General features: G+C 44.6%; 1 long non-coding RNA gene across 1 annotated transcript in view; it reads right to left on the reverse strand.

The window, feature by feature from the left end:
- The window catches only part of IL12A-AS1 (IL12A antisense RNA 1), a 293,693-nt gene extending 276,418 nt beyond the window's left edge, over positions 1–17,275 (reverse strand). The window contains exon 1 of the long non-coding RNA NR_108088.1: positions 17,038–17,275. This is a non-coding gene — a long non-coding RNA (IL12A antisense RNA 1). The remainder of the gene's footprint in view (positions 1–17,037) is intronic.
- Positions 17,276–17,600: the final 325 nt, after the last annotated feature.

Genomic DNA, 17,600 nt, shown 5'->3' on the forward strand with positions numbered 1-17,600 from the left:
AATCAATCCCCATCCTGCAGATCCCCATCAATAAGCACAATCATCCCTACATGAGTGACTTTGTGCAGCCACCATTCCTAGGGGTTCTGGAAGTATTTTTCTGCCATGACAAACCTCACGAATCTGACCTTTCCTAAGCAATGTAGCATGATGAACAGTGTATTAAAAGGAGGCAAACCACCTCACTACCTCATGCAGGAATGTGGGCTTCCCAATAAAGGCCTTTCAGGAGCAAACTTGTAACTGAGTTGGTGAGAGTTTGAACTGAACTATTTACTTGCCCTAGAGGTTACCTAGTAGTTCAGAGATAACACCTCAGGTAGAGACATTGCTGATAATAAAATTGCTAAATTCTTCAGCACTTACTTCAAAGAAGGCCCCCTTCTAGGCAGAAGGGGGGATGAACTGGTGGATGAACTGGCTTGGGGCTTTCATCCTGGAGATACCAAAGGAAGATTGGAAGTGAGGAGGAGGGCTGGGCACGGTGGCTCATGCCTGTAATCCCAGCACTTTGGGAGGCTGAGGCAGGCCGATCACTTGAGGTTAGGAGTGCGAAACCAGCTTGGCCAACATAGCAAAACCCTTCTCTACTAAAAATACAAAAATTAGCCATGCATGGTGGCAGCCACTTGTAGTCCCAGCTACTTAGGAGGCTGAGGCAGGAGAATCGCTTGAACCCGGGAGGCAGAGGTTGCAGTGAGCCAAGATTGTGCCACTGCACTCCAGCCTGGGCAAGAGAGCAAGACTCTGTCTCAAAAAAAAAACAAAAACAAAAAAAAGGAAGTGAGTGAGGAGGAGGAGGAGGAGGTTGCCTCTGATGGGAAGATAGTGTTCATGAGGATCGGTCATGTTTCTCCCCACTCTGGGAGGGAAAGGGAATTGGTGCTCTTTTGTCACAGTTCCTTAGGGACTCCTTTGTTAAAAATTGAAGTTGAGGAAGGAAGTCCCAAGAAGACTTGCTTATACAGTTCAGATTTTATTCCAGAAGGGAAGACTGGCATCTTCTTCCCGGTTGTTTGATTAGCCACTGGACTCCCTGCCTGTCCAAGTGCTTGCAAATCAGGCAAAGTGTACCAGGGAGAAGTAGCACTGTGGCTGGTGTTGGGGGAGAGGGGCAAGGATACCTGCTATGGACTGAATGTTTGTGTCCTCCCACTGCTTCGTTTCATATGTTGAAATCCTAACCCCCAATGTGATGGTGTTCGGAAGTGCGACCTTTGGGAGGTAATTAGGTCATGAAGGTAGAGTCCTCATGAATGAGATCAGTACACTTACAAATAGAAATGAAAGCTTCCTCTCTCTCTGCTCTCTGCCGTGTGAGGACACAGTAAGAAGATGACCATCTGCAAACCAGAAAGAAGGCCTTCACCAGACATGTGGTCTGCCAGCACCTTGATCTTGGACTTCCCAGGCTCCAGAACTGTGAGAAATAAATGCTTGTTGTGTAAGCCACCCAGCCTATGGCAGTTTGTTATAGCAACCAGAACTAAGACAATATCCCTCAAGTTCCCAGGCCTCAGAGATATAAAAGATGAATCTGATCCAAGCCGTGAGCCCCAGCATTAGAGTCTAAGGAAGGAAGAGGAGACTGGGGCTGAAGCGTTACTAGATTGAGGAGCATAGGAAGAGGCCCCAAGTGAAGGTCAGATGTGTCTCACAGGTACACGAAAGCCACGGATGCGTCATGGGAGTGAGGGGCTCCAACAAGGGAAATGGATCAGTGGTGACAACCATCAGAAACCAAACGTCAACTAATGCATGCTCTTGCTTAAGGAGACAGCTTCCGTCCTCTACAGAAGGATGGGGAAGGGGTGGGGAACAGCAAAGGGAGCGGCCCACACCACCTCCCAGCTCCAGATCCCTAGAACTGCAGGTGAGCCTGAGCTTGGGAAAGGAAGAAAGATTTGAATCACAAGTGTTTGAGGTGATGAATATGCTAATCTCTCTGATTTGATCATTATACAACGTATACATGTATCGAAACATCATGGAAATGTACAATTATATGCCAATTAAAATCAAAATAACACTTTAAAAAGTATATGAAGTTGGAGTTTTAAAACAAATGAGGCTGAGTTTTAATAACTGGATTATCCCATTTTAATAACTGAAATTATGAAGTTACAGAGTTGGACAGAGGTGACATTAAGGAAGCCTTTGACTCAGGAGCAGAGCATAGATGGGGACAGACATTGAAAAAACAGGCAGTTTATGTGTGACGGACATCATGGGTTGAATAAGCTGTCCTCACACTCGTTATCTGGCAGACAGTGTAGTAGCTGGGGTGCAGGTTCTGGGCCCCAAGCCCTGGGTTTGAATGAGGCACTGACTGGCTGCAGGCCTTCAAGGTATCTTATGAACTCAGATTTGAGTTTCCTGTTTGCAAAGTGGGGCTAATACAGGCTATGTCACAGAGTTGTGAGACTTAAATGAAATAATGTCTGTACACATTCAAAAATAGAAAGGAGCTGCTTTATTCACAGGGTATCTCTCTTTTTGCTCCTCCACATGTTCACTTCCTGGTAAGAAGACCCCTGGGTCTCCATTCCCTGGATCACTGCCTACTGGCCTGCCCACAGCTGTGCAGTTCTTCCAGCTTCTGAGCCACTGGCACTGATGAGGGAGGTTCTTTCCTGCCTCTCTGAGACCCTGCTGTGGTCCACACTGGATCAGCCTTCCTTGCAGGCCTCAGCAGTGACCACCAGACACACCTCTTTTCTGCCTTAACAGTCTTTTCTCTTTCCCTGGAGTACCCTGAGCCGCAGTTAGTGCTGTCACCCAATGACTGCTCATTTTCCTTAGGGCCCTGAGGGAGGGCTGCCCAGACCCTCATCTGGGCCATTGACTCTTCTCAACAGTGGTGGCCTGGAACAGCTGGACTCAGCCCAGATGCACATTGCCCTGGTGGTGAACACTTTTTAAAATTGAGGTATAGCTTATCTAAAGTAAAGTGTACAGATCTTAGTGTACAGCTTGATGAATTTTTACATATGGGTACACCCATGTAAGCAAATCACCCAAGTCAAGACTTAGAAAAATTACATCACTCCAGAAGGCTTCTCCAGGCTCAATAACCCAGTTTGCTTATGCCCTTCCCAGTCAATAGCCCCCTCCCTCAGAGGCAACCAGCATTCTGACTTTTAACACCATAGATTTGTTTCACCTGATTTGAACTTCTTAACATGGATTTATATTGTATGTAGACTTTACTAACTGGCTTATTTTGCTCAACATAACGTCTTTGAGAGTCATCCATGTTGTTGCACGGACCCATAGTTTGTTCCTTTTAATTGCTGCAGGGTATTCTATTGCATGGATATATTACAATTTGTGTATCCATTCACCTTGACAGTCATTTGGGTTTGTTTCCAATTTTTGGCAATTATGAATAAAGCTGCTGTCTACCTTCACATATATGTGCTTCTGTAAACACATGCACTAAGTTCTCTTGAGTAAATACCTAGGAGTGAAATTGATGGGTCATAGGATATGGGCATGTTTAACTTTAGTGGATATCATGGGCATTTGATGAATGCCATTTATTAGAACCAATGAGTGAATGAACAAATGACACTTTAGTGCCACCATTAGCTTTTAAACACTAACACAGGAATGTATGCATTTGGGGTAAAAATGGGTTTATTGCAAATAAAGTCATTTAGACAGGATTGTCAGTGGTTTTAAAACAGAGCATGGGGTTTTGAGGGGCAGGCAGGAAGAGAAACTTGGCCAAGAGACCCCTGGAAAGAGGCAGGTCAGAGCCAGGATGAGATGGGGGCTGGTGGGGGGTTTTACAAAGTGCTGAAAGCAGGGCCAAGCACATGACCATGACCCACACACGTTCGTGCCCACAAAGAGCGTAGTGGTGTGTGCTTCTGTGAGATTCTCCATCATGTTTCATAATTGGTTTCCTTCACCTTGGGAGTCTTTAGTCATAAAACATTTCGCTGTCAAAACATTATCAATTCAGCTATATGGATAATGTATCAGCAATGTAATCTGCAATTAGTGCAGCTGTCAGTCAAGAGCCACCCTAGGGAATACAACAGACCCAGAGCCCCGCCTCCTCTGCTGCTGTTCCAGCTTCCCCTCCAGACCCATCCTTAGACACCCAGTGCCACCCTGCTTTCTACATGCACCATAGGGCCTGCTCTCAAATCCCCCAGTCTGTAATCTCTTCAGTATTGGCAGCCCTCCCCGGGAGTACCAGACTATTTTTGGCACAGCAGTAGGGAATTGTGGGAGGAATAAAGTGATTGCCATTAATGTTGGAATATTAGACACTGGGAGCAGGGGGAGTTGAGGAAAGAGTAAAGGAGGCAACCCAGTCACACAAAACCTCACCTGCTTTGCCTTTGCATGTGATTGATCCTGCTGATAACACAGCTCTGCACTTCTGGCTTTACTTTTAGGCCCAAATTCAAACATTTTACCCTGTTTCTCACAGCCCTTGCTTACTTCTAATCACCTCTTTTATCTAAGTCGTCACCAAACCCAAGATCATCTAGGTTTTCTTCTATGTTATCTTCTAGTTTTACAGTTTTACATTTTACCTTTAGATCTATGACACATTTTGAGTTAATTTTTGTGAAGATCTGTGTCTAGATTCATTTTTTTGCATGTGGATATTGTTGTTCCAGACCATTTGTCAAAAAGACTATCTTTGCACCCACTTGATATTCTGAAAGTCACTTGTGATGCTTGGTTGATGTCTGCTTCCCCACTGGAAAATAAACCACATTCAGACAAGTTCTAGGTTTTCACTGCCTAACTCAAGGACTTGACATATCATATATGCTTCATCTAAACCTATGGCATTAAGGAAGTAAGCAAATGCTCTTTATTTAACCCCGTGCCTTTCATTATGACTCTTACTTTAAGTTAAAGTGAGACATTATTATCATCATCATTATTATCATCAACAGGCTAAATTCTTCCATTGTACCATCCAAATTGTTCAAATTTGCTGGGAAAGGAATGGTAGGTTTGTCCCTTCCCTTTGGAAAACTTTTTTTTTTTTTTAAAGAAAGATGGTTTTGCCCAAGCACTGTAATTGTATTGAAAGTAGCCATTTAACTTTTGGGTTCAACTCTGAATTCTGATATTGTAGCCAGCAAGAGGTCTTTGCCAGGTAGTTCTCAAATAGAGTCCATTTTAATTATCCAGTTTCTGGATTATTCAGCTCCTGTGCTTTCCTTTCTTCTTTCATCATCTGTCCTTCAGTGATACTTGTGAAAACATCCACCACAAGGAGGACTTGCACAATGATCCTTGAACCTTCAGTTTCCCAGGGTGCTTGAGTCACACATGGCACATGCACACAGGAAGGACCCCTGTGAAAATAATTCTTGCACCCCCACCCAGATTTTTCTGCTCCAGGCACTGAAATATGGGGCAGGGAGTCCTCATGTTGGAGACTCAGTGCAGATTTCTAAGGGGCTTGCATTGAGAGCCAGGCAAACTTCAGGTTCAGTCCCTGCCTTGCCACTGACTGGTCATGTGATCTTAGATAAGATGCTTCATCTCACTAAGCCTCAGCTGACCCCTCTGGGTGATAGGTGTTTATTTACAAAACTATCTACCTATGAGCAATGAGACTTCAGTTATTTAAAAATCCCTGTACCCATTTCCTCATCTGTAAAATGGGATAATAATAACTCTCTTTAAGGTTATGAGGATTAAATGATTTAATGTGTACAAAACTCTGCTAAAAATGTATTAGGATGCTGCTGCTGCTGATGATGATGATGTTACAGCACTGTGATTAAGAGTGTCACTTTGAGCTAAAAATAGAACTACCATTTCACCCAGTAATCCCATTACTGGGTATATACCCAAAGGAATATAAATTGTTCTGCCGTAAAGACACATGCACGCGAATGTTCATGGCAGCACTATTCACAATAGTGAAAACACAGAATTAACCTAAATGGCTATCAATGGCAGACTGGATAAAGAAAACATGGTACATATACACCATGGAATACTACACAGCCATAAAAAATAATGAGATCATGTCCTTTGCAGGAACACGGGTGGAGCTGGAGGCCATTATCCTTAGCAAACTAACTCAGGAAGAGAAGACCAAATATCGCATGCTCTCACTTATAAATGAGAGCTAAAAGATGGGAACACATGGACATATAGAGGGGAACAAGAGACACTGGGGCCTACTTGAGGATGGAGGGTGGGAAGAGAGAGAGGATCAGGAAAAATAACTATTGATACTACAGGGCTTGGTACCTGGGTGAAGAAATAATTTGTACAATAAACCCCTGCGACATGAGTTTACCTGTGTAACAAAGCTGCATATATACCCTTGAACCAAAAATAAAAGTTGAAAAAAAAAAAGAGTGTCGCTTTGGAGTCAAACAAGCCTAGGTTCAAATCTCAAATGTATGCCCCTAAGGAAGCTACTCAATCCCTTTAATATATGTTTTCCTCATCTGGAAAATGAGATAATAATGGTGCTCCCTTCATAGGGTGGTTGTGAGATTCAAGTGCTCAGTGTGGGTCCTGACAAATAGAAAGTGGGTAACAGCTGGTAGCTACCGCCATTGTGGAAGATTCTTACACAATCTCTGAAGAGATTCCTTAACTTGGGACCTTGTATCGATGTCAAAAAGATCTTTTGGGAATGTTTGAGCTCACAGTCTATACTGAGGATAACAGATAACTCACAAGGTACAGTGTAGACAGTGACCTAAAAAAGAAACACCACGCAATGTGGCCTCTGGTTCCTCTCACTAAACAGCAGCCTTAACCGAGAGAGGTTGGGTGAAAAGTCCCACTGCTGGTCCCGGCAAGTTGGTGTTTGATGAGCTAACGTTGCTTCTGTGCCAAGTGGGCCATTGACGTCTTGGTTTGGAGCCCCTGGGATTGACTCTTAGTCATCGTTCCAGCTCCTGGCCAGGGCACAGTCTGGGGTAGGTTGGGCTTTCCTTATTGACAGGCGAGGAAGGGCTGCAGAGGAGCTGCTTTGTCCAGACTGTGTTGGCTCCACAGCCTCCCAGACATTTTCTGCTCTGTCGGCAGAGAGCTATCTCCCTGGACAGACAGAGGCCATGAGAAAGGCTTCAAAGCCCATCTGAGAGTGGGGGTTGGGGAGTGAGTATGCCCTAGAAAGAATCCTCCCTTAGAGCTGCAAAAAGACGCTCCTGAGCCATTCCCAGCAGCAGTCCCTGGCACAGTCCAAGGCAGCTCATTGCTGCACATCATTGCTTAGTTAGTTCATGTCCAATATCAGAAGCAGCAGCATCTCATCTGTTCCTCTGCAGCCCTCTGAGAGAGATGAGGCATCTCAATTTTACAGGTGAGGCTGCTAAGGCCAAGGGATGTCCTTTGCTCAGAGACAGCCAGTTGGGAAGTCTCAGGCCATTTCTCTTTCCTCTGGGCCCTGTATCACTTAGCTCCTACTGGCCACTACAAACACAGCCCATTTTTCACTGCCCTCAAGCCACAACCCAGTACCAGGGGCTCCCTACCACCTGGTTCCTCAAGTCTGCCTCTGGGCCATTGCAGCCCCTGCGCTCCCTGTGCTTGGACAGTGCCTCCATATAGTTAGGTCTCAGTGAAGACATCATCACCTCCAAGAGGCCTTTCCCTAGTCACCCTAAAGTAGCATTCATCAATCACTCTGTATCTCATCATTGAATGCCTCCAAACCCTTATCCTACTCATCTTTATTCTTCTTTTTTTTTTTTTTTTTTTTTTTTTTGAGACAGAGTCTCACTCTATCATCCAGGCTGGAGGGCAGTGGTGCAATCTTGACCTCCCGGGCTCAAGAAATCCTCTCACCTCAGCCTCCAGAGCATCTGGGACTACAGGCAATTACCACCATGCTGGGCTAATTTTTTTGTATTGTTTGGTAGAGACAGGGGTTCACCGTGTTGCCCAGCCTGGTCTCAAACTCCTGGGCTCAAGCAATCTGCCTGCCTCGGCCTCCCAACGTGCTGGGATTACAGGCCTGAGGCACTGCGCCCACCTATCCATTTATTTTTATCTCTCTCAGTGAGGTTAGAATCTCAGGAGTCTTGCTCACTGTCGCCTTGCAGCACTTGGCAAACAGCACCATCCTCAGACGAGGGGCAGCCAAGCCCCTGCCCTGGGCCCTGAACCAATGCCCAGAGGGTCTGCTCTGGGCCTTTGCAGCTGTGCCCTCCCCATAGGATAAGGGGTCTACAGGACCAAAGGAAGTACCCACCCAGAGCCCATTATCTCCTCTTCTAGATGGCATTATGGGTACCCAGGAATCAGTAAGTCCCTGACCAAATGGCCCTAAACCCACTTCCAGGGAGGAATTGTGGGCCTCTTATCTTCCCTAGGGTAGAATACACACCATTGTGAGACCCCAAGACCCAATGGGTGGCCACGGAGCAGTACATGCAGGTGAGGTCCCTCAGAATGCTGGGCAGACAGGGAGAGTTGGGGGAGAGAAGAAAAGGGAGGGCCGTTCCCATATGGGGGCCAAGGGAGGGTATGGGGGAGGTCTCCACACACCATTGAGTTCCAATGCAGAACTCCAGGGAGCTCTAGGATTATGCATTTGAACCCGGCCCTCCAGGTCTTTATGACAGTATATGATGGAACAGTTCATTAGTTTGATTTATAACTTAAAATTTAGACATATAGTATGTGGGCCTCCAATTGCTCTCCAAATGTTAGGGGCAGGCCTGTTAACATATAGTAGATAACCACTAAATATTGACTAAATAAAGGTATAAGTGAATGAAGAAATGAACAAATGAATGAAGTTTAAGCCCATTCACCAGAGCTTCCACAGTGGCAGCTTGGGGGAAGTTTCCACACAGAGTAAAGTGGAGCCTCTCACTCAGTCTGGATAGACACAACCAAGTGAGGAGCTTGCACCCTGGTGGGCCAAATCACACTGCTCCAGGGATTGCTGTAAGACAGTCAGCCTCAGTAATGCGATCAAATTAGAGCCACAGCCAAAATAACCAGCCATTTCCTAAAGTAGCGTAGAATGTGGCTTTGAGCTTTTCCATGGATTTAATTTCCCCCACTATACCTTCAAGCATTGACTACATGTGTGTTTAAAGTAAGGCATTAAGAAACATATGGCCAATAGCAGGCTCTATCCTATTTTTCTAAGAACTATGAAGCTAGTGGATGGGCCCCAGCAAGATAATATAACAAAAGAAAAGAAAAAGAGTTAATTCTATAAAATGCAGTAACTGCTAAGTCAACTCCTTTTAAAACATTTTAGAGATTTTAAGGTCAAGAATTAATGGTCCACTTACTTCAAAGGAATCAATTTATTTCTTCAGCATTCATTTTCAAAATCAATCATTTTGCATCACCTAGAGAACTTAAGAAATTGAACTTTGAGAGCACATTACCGTAAAACACTCATCGGTCTATGTATGACTTCCAGCTACCACGAGTCTTTTTCACATAAATCCCAAAGATAGTTGATTTCTTGCTGCTTTGCTCTAGATGTAATAGCTGGTAATAATGTGGTCCTGCAGAGGTGTTCTAAATAATGGATAGCAAAGCAAAGCCCTTGCAGGGATCAATTCAGACCAACAACCATCTAGAGTGAACCCATGTAGGCCAGGCATGTGCTAGGTGCTGACAGGGCCTTTTGGTGTAATTGAGCAGTGCAGGCAGGAAGCCAATTCAGGAAAAGCATAGAATTATTTGCTTTTCCCTCTGCTAGCTGAGTTATTCCTGCAAGATGGGTGTGTTCAGGGTTCCGAATTATTTAAAGGTTTATGCTGAAAATTTGGAGGGCAATAACTATGCACCAGTGTATCTTTAGTCAAAGTTGTTATGTTTCTGCTTTGTAGAAACATCCCATCAAGGCTGGGCACAGTGGCTCATATCTGTAATTCCAGCACTTTAGGAGGCCGAGGCGGGAGGATGGCTTGAGTCCAGGAATTCAAGACCAGCCTGGGCAACACAGCAAAATTTTGTCTCTATTAAAATTAAAAAATTAGCCAGGCATGGTGGTGCATGCCTATCATCCTCGCCAATCCAGAGGCTGAGGCACAAGGATGGCTTGAGCCCAGGAGTTTGAGGTTGCTGTGAACTATTATTGTGCCACTGCACTCCAGCCTAGGCAACAGAGCAAGACTCTGTCTAAAAAAACACAAAACACACACACTGTATTAGGCCATTTTCATACTGCTATAAAGAACTACCCAAGACTGGGTAATTTATAAAGGAAAGGTTTAATTGACTCACAGTTCCATATGGCTGGGGAGGCCTCAGGAAACTTACAATTGTGGGAGAAGGCAAAGGGGAAGAAGGCACCTTCACAAGGTGGCAGGAAGGAGAAGAACTGAGCAAAGGGGAAGAACCCCTTATAAAACTATCATATCTCATGAGAATTCACTCACTATCATGAGAACGACATGGGGGAAATCGCCCCATGATTCAATCACCTCCACCTGCTCTCTCCCTTGACACATGGGGATTATAGGGATTATTGGGTCTACAATTCAAGATGAGATTTGGGTAGGAACACAAAGCCTAACCATATCACAGACACACACACACAACCTCCAGCTGAGTTAACCTAAAGGCTGATGTTATTATCCTGGTGCTGCAACAAATAGTCTCGGTGACCTTGGACAAGTCACTCCACCTAACCTCCCCAAGCTTTAGTTTGGATGGGTAATCTGTAGACTGTCATCAGTGCTAACAGTCTGGAAAACCCCATGTTAATCAACACCACCAGGGACTCAGACAGACCAGCTGTTTGGCTTCAGAAGACAAAACCTCCAGCTGAATGAGGGCATTTAGCATTGGGCTTTTTGGCAGCTGCACACACAGTGAATAAATGTCAGGAGTAGATTAGTAAGGGAGCCTTGGGTAGAGAGAGCTTTGGTAATTCAAGCCCCTGAGCATCCTATTTACTGAGAAGTGGCTCTGAATTAAATAAACATGTAAATTACACACTCATCCCAAATTGGATTTCAAGCTGAGCATCATTACTGGAGTGTAGGAGAGACAGCTACAGTCCAAGGCTACCTGCTCTCCTCAACCTTCAGTACTAACTGGATCAAGGTTTAATTCTTCCAAACAGCCACATATTTCACATTGCATTTGACTGGATATAATAGGAAACTTGAGCAGGGGCTATTATTATTTGCAGGGGTGGGGTGGAGGATCTGGCTATGCCACCCCAAACTCTTCATTGACTACAAATTTAACCTTGAGCAAATCTTGTTCTATGATCATGAAAGTCCTGCCCAGCCTCTAACATTTTATAGTCTATCACTTGTTCCTAATGAGAATCATTAAAATTAACACTCAGGGCAGCCTGCAGAATAACGGCTTCAGATCTTGACTGCACTTTGGAATCACCTGAGGATCTTAAAACTTTACTGATGTTGCTCAGGCACAGTGGCTCACGCCTGTAATCCCAGCACTTTGGGAGGGTGAGGCAGGATTGTGTGAGACCAGGAGTTCAAGACCAGCCTAGGCAATATAGCAAGTCCTCCATCTCTACAGAGAACTTTAAAATTAGCCAGGCATGGTGGCATGCACTTGTAGTTCCAGGTACCTGTAAGGCTGAGGCAGGAGGACCACTTGAGCCAGGAGGCTCACATTACAGTGAGCTATGATTACACCACTGCCCTCCATTCTGAGCAACAGAGTAACACTCTGCCTCTAAAAAAATAAAATTACTGACATTATGTTCCACCTGCAGATTCTAATTTCATTGGTCTGAGGGCTCCTGGGCTTTAATTTTAAAAGCCCACAGGGATACAAATGGACATTCAGGCTGAAAACTCCTGCTTCAGGGAGAAAGCTCCATGGGGTGTGTGGCACACACTGTGAGCTACTCAAAAGCCATCCAGTGCTCAATTTTCCCTTGTCTTCATCACATAAAAAGACTAGAAAACTAAAATACCTCCCTAGATTCCCTTACAGTAAGAGGCTTATGTGCCCCAGTTCTGACCAGTGAGATATAAGTGGAATTCACTGGGTAGAGATCCCAGGAAAGCTTTTTAGAGGAGACTGACTTGGCTGGTGGGCACTTTAGCCCTTGCCCTGTGCCCCCTTTTTTTCTTCCTGTCTGTAATATAGAAGCCATGCCTGGATCTTCAGCTGCTGTATTACAAGTGCCAAGCACTTGTCTAAAGATGGTAGAGCAGGAAGAGAGAAGGGACCTGGATCTTTGGGGTCACCGTGACCTGCAATATCTGCCCTATTGCCTATCTTGGAATTCTTTGATGCATGAGATAAATAACCTCCCTACTTATTTCAGTCACTGCCAGTGCCCCTTCCTCTTGCATGCAGCCCAGCACTATCTTTAAATGATACAGAACATGAAAGGTGTTAAGAGGAAATGCTTCGCCTTCTCAAGGTCACCTCAATCTTACAGCATGAACACAGAGTGAGAAACAATTTTCTTAATTTGTAAATGACCATTATAACTAAGCATATTGGCCGGGCATGATGGCTCACGCCTGTAATCCCAGCACTTTGGGAGGCCAAGGTGGGCAGATCACCTGAGATCAGGAGTTCGAGACCAGCCTGAAAAATATGGTGAAACCCCGTCTCTACTAAAAATACAAAAATTAGCCGGGTATGGTGGCATGTGCCTGTAGTCCCAGCTACTCAGGAGGCTGAAACAGGAGAATCGCTTGAACCTGGGAAGTGGAGGTTGCAGTGAACCGAGATCACACCACTGCACTCCAGCCTGGGCGACACAGTGAGGCTCTGTCTCAAAAAACAAACAAACAAAAAAGACTAAAGCATACTGACACTTAAACCAGAAGAGTTATGTTTTTGAGTCTACAGGAGGCTCCCCAAAAGGCCTGTGCATTGACAGAAACATCTGGAGCCTAGCTACTAGGTTAAGGTTATGGCTCTTGGAAAATTGTACTAATACTCAACTGCCATCTTGACCCCAGCCCTGCTGCTACTGCTCCTGGGCTGGGTAAAAGGCCTAGTGTGCTCAAGAGTACAAGGATAGGAAGCTGAAAGCAGAGTTGTGCAGAACAAGGGCTCAATAAATCTCAGGGGCTTTCTATTTTATTTTTATTTTTGAGACAGGGTTTTGCTCTGTTGCCCATGCTGGAGTGCAGTGGCACAATCACAGCTCACTGCAGCCTCGACCTCCTAAGTTCAAGCCATTCAGGGGCTTTCTAAAGATGTTATATTGGAGGCCATGATCCTAGCCATCACTTTCAGCTAGTCCCAGGAGTCTGTGTTACTGGGATGGAGGTGAGATTGGGGGTGGGGGCAGTTAGCTTCTCTTGCTGCCTTGACTTCCTTCCTTCTTCTCTCCTTCTTCTTTCCTTCTTCCTTTCTTCCTCTCTTTTCTAGGCTCACACTTCTGTATTCACAGGGAAGAGACAAAATGCTAGCCATCCTTACATTCCCTGCACTTGGCAGAGTATCTGTCAGAGAGTAAGTGCTCACTAAATGCTTGTTAGAATAAACACTCATCCTCACACTCTGCTCACACTTACCTACAAGTACCCACCACCACTCCCCCTTCCTGTGCAGGGAGAAGTCTAACCTGTTCTCATAATAGAGTTATGTTTTCTTCCCTTGTTACTTTCTCTGGATCACCCTACTGCCATTCCTGCCCATATCCTGATGCTGGCATTTAACAAAAGAGAAATGGGAAAGCATCAGGAGAGACATATGGGAGGAGGGGGGTTATTCTGTGTTTTTAAGGACATGTCTATCTAGTCATGATAGTAATTGAATAAAGCGGGAGATGCTGGCTGGGCACGGGGGCTCACCCCTGTAATCCCAGCACTTTTGGGGACTGAGGCAGGCGGATCACGAGGTCAGGAGTTTGATACCAGCGTGGCCAACATACTGAAACCCCATCTCTACTAAAAATACAAAAATTAGCTGGGTGTGGTGGCACGCACCTGTAGTTCCAGCTACTTGGGAGGCTGAGGCAAGAGAATCACTTGAACCTAGAAGGTGGAGGTTGCAGTGAGCCGAGATGGTGCCATTGTACTCCAGCCTGGGGGACAGAGTGAGACTCTGTCTAAAAAAAAAAGGGAGGGGAGAGATGCTGAAGATTCAGAAGTGAGAGGAGAAACAAAGGGAAAAGGTCCTTGAGAAGGTGAAGTGGAGGGTTGGCCTTTGGTGGCAGGAGAGGCTCAAACAACAGAGAAGAGAGGCCCTACCTCAGTAGACTTGTACATCTAGATTCTGTTTTCCTAAAAAGGTGGAAAGTGAGATCATCAGCTGAGAATAACAGCAGAGGTTAGGATGTGGAAGGCTGAGAAAGAGAAGGTGGTATTGACCCATCATGACTTGCTTCCTCTTCTCCTCCCTAGGCTAGCCTTGACCAGGGCCTGCCTGCAGGCTTGTGATGAATGATATAATGGCCTCCTTGGCCTAGGTTATAAGATCCAATCAGTCTGTCAGACTATCTTAATTGTATGCCAACTCATGCAGAGAATGGTGTGGAGTCATCTTCTCACACTCAATCAAAGTAAGTTCCTGCAATTTCTCCGCTAATGATATGGTTCGGCTCTGTGTCCCACCCAAGTCTCGTGTCAAATTGTAATCCTCAATGTTGGAGGAGGGTCCTGCTAGGAGGTGACTGAATCATGGTGGCTGTATTAGTCCATTTTCACACTGCTGATAAAGACATACCCAAGACTGGGTAAATTATAAAGAAAAAGTGGTCTAATGGATTCACAATTCCATGTGGCTGGGGAGGCCTTACAACCATGGTGGAAGGTGAAAGAAACATCTTCCATGGCAGCAGGCCAGAGAGAGAATGAGAGCCAAGCGAAAGGAATTTCCCCTTATAAGATCATCAGATCTTGTGAGAGTTATTCACTACCACAAGAGCAGCATAGGGGAAACCGCCCCCATGATTCAATTATCTCCCACCAGGTCCCTCCTACAACACATGGGAATTATGAGAGCTACAATTCAAGATGAGATTTGGGTGGGGACACAGCCAAAACATATCCGGGGAGTACTTCCCCCTTGCTGTTCTCATGATAATGAGTGAGTTCTCACGAGATCCGCTTGCTTAAAAGTGTGCAGCACTTCCCCCCTTAGCTCTCTTCCTCTTGCTCCTTCCACATAAGATGTGCCTACTTCCTCTTTGCCTTCTGCCATGATTATAAGTTTCCTGAGGCCTCCCCAGCCATGCTTCCTGTATAGCCTGTGAAACTGAGTCAATTAAATCTTTTTTCTTTATAAATTACCCAGTCTCAGGTAGTCCTTTTTTTCTTTCTTTTTTTTAAAAATTTTTTAATTTTTTGAGATGAAGTCTTACTCTGTTGCTTAGGCCGGAGTGTAGTAGCATGATCTTGGCTCACTGCAACCTCTGCCGAGCCCCCAGTTCAAGCAATTCTCATGTCTCAGCCTCCCAAGTAGCTGAGATTACAGGTGCCCACCACCACATCCAGCTAATTTTTTTTTTTTTTTTTTTGTATTTTTAGTAGAGATGGGATTTCACCATGTTGGCCAGACTGGTCTCAAACTCCTGACCTCGAGGGATCAGCCCGCCTTGCAGGTAGTCCTTTATATCAATGTGAGAATGAACTAATACACCTAAACTTCAGCATCACCCATTTCCACCCTTTTCCTGGTGATGGCAAGAGAAGGAGAAGCAGAGTCTAATTTGGGCTACAGCAGGTAAAATTTGAGAAATTTAATGAAGTCAAAATGAGACCACCCAGATCCTGAAATATAAAGATTAAGAAAAGCAAAGATTTAGTAACCGGTTCTGAAGTCTCTGGACATCCTTTGGCACTTCAAAGCTTCCAGTGATTCTACAAGACTTATAGCAGAAACACCAATCTTAACATTTCAAGATTATTGCAACTTTTTCTTAATCTACCTCAATCCATTCTATATCATGCCATTAATAGACATGTCCTAAAATATGAGAATGAGAGCATAGGGGGTTGAGAAGAAACTACAAGGGGATGGAAAGTGAAACGTTTCCCTAGTTTAGACCTCGTGAAATTCTTGAGGAATACCTCCTGGCACACTGCCTGGAATCCTGTCCCAAGCAGGGAAGCCAAGCCCTCTCCAAACAGGGCGTGAGTAGGAATTTTGCATCATCCTCCTAGAACCACGAGTAGGAGGGTCTTGTGGGACCATTCTGGTCCTGGGGAACTAGAGTTGTTGGCTTCAATTGTAACCCAGAAAGTAGGCAACAAGGCCTACAGCTTTGTGTGCAGAGTTGAGGACAAACACTGACCAATATCATTCAAGAGAACTCCTTCCTCGCTAATTCAGTGCTGTGCCATCATTCTCATCATCTTTTCCCTTTTGTTCATGCTTCTCCCAGTGGAGTCTTTGTCCTCCAACTCCTCACAGTTAGAGTCTCTACGTTTCTTTCCTTTTCCTCAAAGTAATCCCAGGAAAAGGTAGATAACTCCTTAATTCTCAATGCAAATTTCAAATATTTGACCATCCATCTTCTGTCAAAGTGACCGACACTCAGAGCACTAGAAATTTGGAGTTTTCCTGGAAATAGAATCTTATGAGAATGTCTTTGCAAAGCAATGACTTTAACATTATGGAGTTTTACCCACGTGAGAAGACTGCTATTTGTTAAGGAATTGAGATTAATGAGTTGTCACATTCTTATGATGGAAAAGGAGACAGATGATTTTGCAATTCATATTCAGCCTTCTTCTATTAAAATATAAAATCATGTGTCAAAGCATCTGGATGGTCTAAAAACAGTGGTTGCGTGGAGTATGGAGCTCAGTCACTTTTGAGAAAAAAATGCACGTTTATTTTTAAAGGAAAAATGAAAAAGAGGGATATTGGAATGTAGGGATGGTTATGTTGAGAAAGTTTGCCCAGATTGACTTGACATCTTGGAAAATATTTTAGTTCATTTGAAAGGAGGAATCCAGTGCTTCCAGCCAGGACAATGAAAGAGAGTTCTAAGAAATTTAAATGCATAAAAAGAAAAAAAAAAGTAAGAGGGGGCAAAAGTAGAGAGAAAACAACAAAGGATGGTAATATTCCAAACCCTAGAGTTGCAATTGTCTTTACCATTGGCTATCTTACCACACCTCCCTAGTATACATTCATACATTCATCTTCACTCACCTTTGGCTCTCCAGTGATTTCCAATGGATTGCGGTTAGAGTCTTGACAGATGTGTCCAGTGGTCTTCAATCAGGATCACGATGAGAGACAAGCCAAGAATCCCATTTGCTCTTGCTCTGTTTGGAATATCTCCACATTAGCCCAACTTTCCATTACTGCTACTGACTTTAGACTTCTGGATGACAAACGTAAGAAAGAAAGTGATTCTGTTATCAAGCAAGGAGGATCCTAAAGAGCTCCTTGTTATCATCACCAAGATCTGAAATTATGTGCTGTTCCATTTGTGAGCTCATTAATCTCTGTTTTCCAGTGGGAGCTTTGCAATTGCAAAGAGCTGCTCAGCGGTGACCTCCAACAGCTGTCCAACTGCAGCATCCCTGGGCCACAGGCACACTGGCCTGATTGGAATGGGAATGCATATTTGGGGCATGGGGAGGCAACAGGAGGTTTGAGCTAATCAAAGCACAAAGCTTGTTTAGAATTTATTGATGTGTTGTTAACTGTGTTGCAGCTTTTCCTAGAATGATGGCTGTTTATTTATTGACTTTTCAAAAAAGCTTTCG

This window comes from Homo sapiens, chromosome 3, assembly GCF_000001405.40.
Source record: "Homo sapiens chromosome 3, GRCh38.p14 Primary Assembly".
Classification (NCBI taxonomy): Eukaryota; Metazoa; Chordata; class Mammalia; order Primates; family Hominidae; genus Homo; species Homo sapiens.